Here is a 6,000-nt window from a genome sequence, read left to right on the forward strand (position 1 = left end):
CTTTTGAATTTGTTTGCTTTTGCTTCTCTAGTTCTTTTAATTGTGCTGTTAGGGTGCCAATTTTAGATCTTTCCTGGTTTCTCTTGTGGCCATTTATTGCTATAAATTTTTCTCTACACACTGCTTTAAATGTGTTCCAGAGATTCTGGTACATTGTGTCTTTGTTCTCATTGGTTTCAAAGAAAATCTTTATTTCTGCCTTCATTTTGTTATTTACCCTGTAGTCATTCAGGATCAGGTTGCTCAGTTTCTATGTAGTTGAGCGGTTTTGAGTGAATTTCTTAATCCTGAGTCCTAATTTGATTGCACTGTGGTCTGAGAGACAGTTTGTTGTGACTTCTGTTCTATTACATTTGCTGAGGAGTGCTTTACTTCCAATTATGTGGTCAATTTTGGAATAAGTCCGATGTGGTGCTGAGAAGAATGTATACTCTGTTGATTTGGGATAGAGAGTTCCGCAGATGTCTATTAGGTCTGCTTGGTGCAGTGCTGACTTCCAGTCCTGGATATCCTTATTAACCTTCTGTTTCATTGATCTGTCTTATATAAAGAGTGGGTTGTTAAAGTCTCCCATTATTATTATGTGGGAATCTAAGTCTCTTTGTAGGTCTCTAAGGACTTGCTTTATGAATCAGGGTGCCCCTGTATTAGGTGCATATATATTTAGGATAGTTAGCTCTTCTTGTTGAATTGATCCCTTTACCATTATGTAATGGCCTTCTTTGTCTCTTTTGATCTTGTTGGTTTAAAGTCTGTTTTATCAGAGACTACGATTGCAACCCCTGCTTTTTTTTTCTGCTTTCCATTTGCTTGGTAGATCTTCCTCCATCCCTTTATTTTAAGCCTATATGTGTCTGTGCACGTGAGATGGGTCTCCTGAATACAGTACACTGATAGGTCTTGACTCTTTAGCCAAATGGCCAGTCTGTGTCTTTTAATTGGGGCATTTAGCCCATTTACATTTAAGGTTAATATTGTTATGTGTGAATTTGATCCTGTCATTATGATGTTAGCTGGTTATTTTGCTCATTAGTTGATGCAGTTTCTTCCTAGCCTTGATGGTCTTTACAATTTGGGATGTTTTTGCAGTGGCTGGTACTGGTTGTTCCTTTCCGTGTTTAGTGCTTCCTTCAGGAGGTCTTGTAAGGCAGGCCTGGTGGTGACAAAATCTCTCTGCAATTGCTTGTTTGTAAAGGGTTTTATTTCTCCTGCACTTATAAAGCTTAATTTGGCTGGATATAAAATTCTGGGCTGAAAATTCTTTTCTTTAAGAATGTTGAATATTGGTTCCCACTCTCTTCTGCCACTTCTCTTTCTGCCAAGAGATCTGCTGTTAGTCTGATGGACTTCCCTTTGTGGGTAACCCAACCTTTCTCTCTGGCTGCCCTTAACATTTTTTCCTTCTTTTCAACCTTGGTGAATCTGACAATTATGTGTCTTGGAGTTGCTGTTCTCGAGGAGTGTCTTTATGGTGTTCTCTGTATTTCCTGAATTTGAATGTTGGCCTGCCTTGCTAGGTTGGGGAAGTTTTTCTGGATAATACCCTGAAGAGTGTTTTCCAACTTGGTTCCATTCTCCCCATCACTTTCAGGTACACCAGTCAAACATATATTTGGTCTTTTCACATAGTCCCATATTTCTTGGAGGCTTTGTTCATTACTTTTTCTCTTTTTTCTCTAATCTTGTCTTCTCACTTTATTTCATTAATTTAATCTTCAATCACTGATATCCTTTCTTCTATTTGATTGAATCAGCTATTGAAGCTTTTGCATGTGTCATGAAGTTCTCGTGCCATGGTTTTCAGCTCCATCAGGTCACTTAAGGTCTTCTCTGCACTGTTTATTCTAGTTAACCATTCATCTAACCTTTTTTCAAGGTTTTTAGCTTCCTTGTGATGGGTTAGAACATGCTCCTTTAGCTCGGAGAAGTTTGTTATTACTGACCTTCTGAAGCCTACTTCTGTCAACTCGTGAAAGTCATTCTCCATCCAGCTTTGTTCTGTTGTTGGCAAGGAGCTATGATCCTTTGGAGGAGAAGAGGTGCTCTGGTTTTTAGAATTTTCAGATTTTTTGCTCTGGTTTCTCCCCATCTTTGTGGTTTTATCTACCTTTGGTCTTTGATGTTGATGACCTACAGATGAGGTTTTGATGTGGATGTCTTTTGTGTTGATGTTGGTGCTATTCCTTTCTGTTTGTTAGTTTTCCTTCTAACAGGTCCCTCAGCTGCAGGTCTGTTGGAGTTTGCTGGAGGTACACTCCAGAACCTGTTTGCCTGGCTATCACCAGCAGAGGCTACAGAACAGCAAATACTGCAGAACAGCAAATATTTCTGCCTGATCTTTCCTCTGGAAGGTTCATCCCAGAGGAGTACCCACCTGTATGAGGTGTCTGTCGGCTCCTACTGGGAGGCATCTCCCAGTTAGGCTACACAGGGGTCAGGGATCCACTTGAGGAAGCAGTCTGTCTGTTCTCAGAGCTCAAATGCTATGCTGGAAAAACCACTGCTCATCTGAGCTGTCAGACAGGGACATTTAAGTCTGTAGAAGTTGTCTGCTGTCTTTTAAGCTATGCCCTGTCCACAGAGGTGGAGTCTATAGAGGCAGTAGTCCTTGCTGAGGTGTGGTGGGCTCTGCCCAGTTCGAGCTTCCTGGCTACTTTGTTTACCTACCCAAGCCTCAGCAATGGCAGATGCCCCTCCCCCAGCTAGACTGCAGCCTTGCAGGTCAATCTCAGACTTCTGTGCTAGCACTGGGCAAGGCTCTGTGAGCATCAGACCCGCCGAGCCAGGCATGGGAGAGAAACTCCTAGTCTGCCAGTTGCTAAGACGATGGGAAAAGTGCAGTATTTGGGCAGAAGTGTACTGATTTTCCAGGTACAGTCTGTCACAGCTTTCCTTAGCTGGGAAAGGGAAATCCCCCAACCCCTTGCACTTCCTGGGTGTGGCAACACCCCACTCTGTTTTGGTTCACCCTCTGTGGGCTGCACCCACTGTCCAACCAGTCCCAATGAGATGAACCAGGTATCTCAGTTGGAAATGCAGAAATCACCCTTCTGCTGTGTTGATCACGCTGGGAGCTTCAGACCAGAGCTGTTCCTATTCGTTCATCTTGGAAAGGAATTCCATTTTTTTTTCCGTTCTGTAAAAGCAAGATGTTGAGTAAATCCATCTTACTAAATATGAAGTTAATCTATACAGATCTCTAATAATTCACTCAGCAAATATGTTGCTTTCCCATGCATCTCTTATTTGCCACTCAAAGCATTTTTACTGAGGAACAATTTTTCTTGAAACTATGACCTTTTATATTTGAAAACTTGCAATACATATACTCAAGTTGAAGAGACTATATGTGACAAAACCTACACAATATAATTTTTGAAAATTATGAGTCACATTTTAGGCATAATCAATGTTGAAGATATAAAAAGTGGGATTTGTGTCTAAATCTCAGAGATATTTTCTAAAAACCCAATTTCATTAAATAAAAGCATAAGGATATGAATTCCAAGACAAAATGCTACTTTCATATATTTAAATGCATATTATATATGCATCAAAGTCAGGTATATATACATGAATAAACACAATCCACTTCCTGAACTGTCAATAATTGTTAATTCTTGCAAAAACAATCTTATGTACTCAAATTAATACATTTAGAGTCTTTAATTTTTTATATTTGTGCTTAAAGCATTAGTCTATTTGGATTTAACTAGCAGAATTCAATATTTTTATCTTCATTCAGTTAACAAATCTAAGAAAAGTGTTGCCTAACAACCACAAATCAAGAGACTGTGCCAACCGCCCCTTGTTCTATGGTCAGCTTGATTTTGCTTCCTCTAATATCTAGCACCAGAGGCTGTGAGGTAGAAGAGAAAGCGTTCTGACTGCATAGGCTGAGAGCCTTATCCTGTGTCATGGCCCTTCTCTTAAAACAGCTGCAGGCCTCTGAGCCACCCAGCATTAATTATTTCAGTATTTATTGACAGCCTACTGGGTACAGGATGAGGTATTAGGTGTTGAAGAAGATTCAAATTTAAATGAAATTTTCTCCCTGGATTTAAGTCACTGATAATAAAACAGGTGTGAGACATATACTCTGCCAAACAAAATCTACAAAAGTATGTTAGTAGGTTAGAAACAATATACTAGGAGTAAGAAAACGAATTCAAAATAGGGCAAGAGGTCCTGTATACTAATATACTGTATACTAATATACAGGACCTCTTGATAACAGTATAATATACAATATCCTCCTTGTCCTCTACTCCTCTTCTTTTTTCCCTCATAGTACCAATTCTTTTCCTAGTAACAATAGCAAAGCTAGGTTTTTACATGCTTCATCTTGGTTAATCTTCGCACTGGTCTGGAAAAGTAAATAGCAGTAATGTCATTTACCACTGGTTAAAAGCTCAGTCAGCATTGTTACAGTACTTGTTTAAGGTCACAATATTGGTGTCAGGGTCAGAATTCAAACCCAGAACTGTGTTCTGAAAACAGTTTCTAGATAAACTGGAAAAAGCATGATATTTTATCCACGTTGCTATAATTGTGTCCACACTTCACTTTAATGAAAGAATGTAAACTGTTTTGCCGAATTGGAAGATGCACATTAGACCCTGAGGAGCATATGATCTCATTAAAGAGCATATTTTTATGAGGTTGTTGTGTAGAGCTCCTGAGAACAGTAGCAGCAAATTAAACTGAAAAGAAGACTTGGGACCAGGTCATAGATCATCTCTCTAAGGAATTCAGGCTGTATTTAAAAAGCTGTGGAGTCATTATTTTTGTTTAACAAGTAGAAATATTATGAGATAAGCAGTGTAGTAAGAATATATTAATTAGGACATTTAAGAGGTATCAAATAAATGTTTGATAAACCAAACAAAGAGGGTGGACGAAAGGATCTATTAGATGATCTCTAGGAAGATAAGAATGAAGTAATAAACTATGACAGTAGAAAAAACAATAGATTTATCAGATTGGGAGAAAGCGAAACTTGGTTTAAACCTTATTTAGTCACTAACACAGAGACATGCTTTCCCCCCTCCAGAAGCAACAGTGTTCTCAACTAAACAATGGGGACATTAATGATCAAATCTCTTAGCTTAAAAATTATGTGACTTTGATCTAATCGATTATTTTATTTTTTTTAATGAAACAATTTTGAGTGTGAGCATACCAGATCTTTGTAGTAGATGAATCGTGTTTGCTGCAAGGGGCAAATGATTTCTACTAGATAGGTTGGAATAATACCACTAATGCAGCACTGAATATGGGTGAAGGATATTTCTGTGAAAATAATGAGCTCAAGTTGGAGCAGGAGCTCAGTGACTGGTAGATTAAGGCAGACTCTTTGGAAATGCCCTATGAAAAGCCACACTGCAAATCACAAACACTGGGATATAATCCAAATTGGGAAGATAGTCCAAGGAAACATATATAAAGCCTCTAAACAAAGCCTCATGAGGACATTGATAAAATCTGGAGAAAACACTTAGAATGAGAGGAAGGAATCAGTAACACAGACAAGTGTCCTAGAAAAAAATATGCCAGTGGAAGAGATTGTGCAATAAGAAAACCACAGAAAAGCTGAGAGGGAATGGTCAGTGCAATAATAGCAGATTCAAGAATGTGCACCTGGCCAGGCATCTGTGACTCAAGCCTGTAATCCTAGCAGTTTGGGAGGCTGAGGTGGGAGGATTGTTTGAGTCTAGGAGTTCAAGATCAGCCAACACAATAAGCAAGACCCCATCTCTGCAATAAATGAAAAAATTAGCTAGGTAAAGTGATGTGCACCTGTAGCCCCAGATAAAGGAGAAGCTGAGATGGGAGGATCACTTGAGCCCAGTAAGTCTAGGTTGCAGTGAACTATGATCATGCCACTGCACTCCAACCTGGGCACAGAGTGAGACCCTGTGTCAAAAAAAAAAAAAAAAAAAAAAGGTAAGAATGTGTACCCTTTCAGAAAAAAAAAAGAACAATTGACCCTTGAACAAC

This window comes from Homo sapiens, chromosome 5 (genome assembly GCF_000001405.40).
Source record: "Homo sapiens chromosome 5, GRCh38.p14 Primary Assembly".
Lineage (NCBI taxonomy): Eukaryota > Metazoa > Chordata > Mammalia > Primates > Hominidae > Homo > Homo sapiens.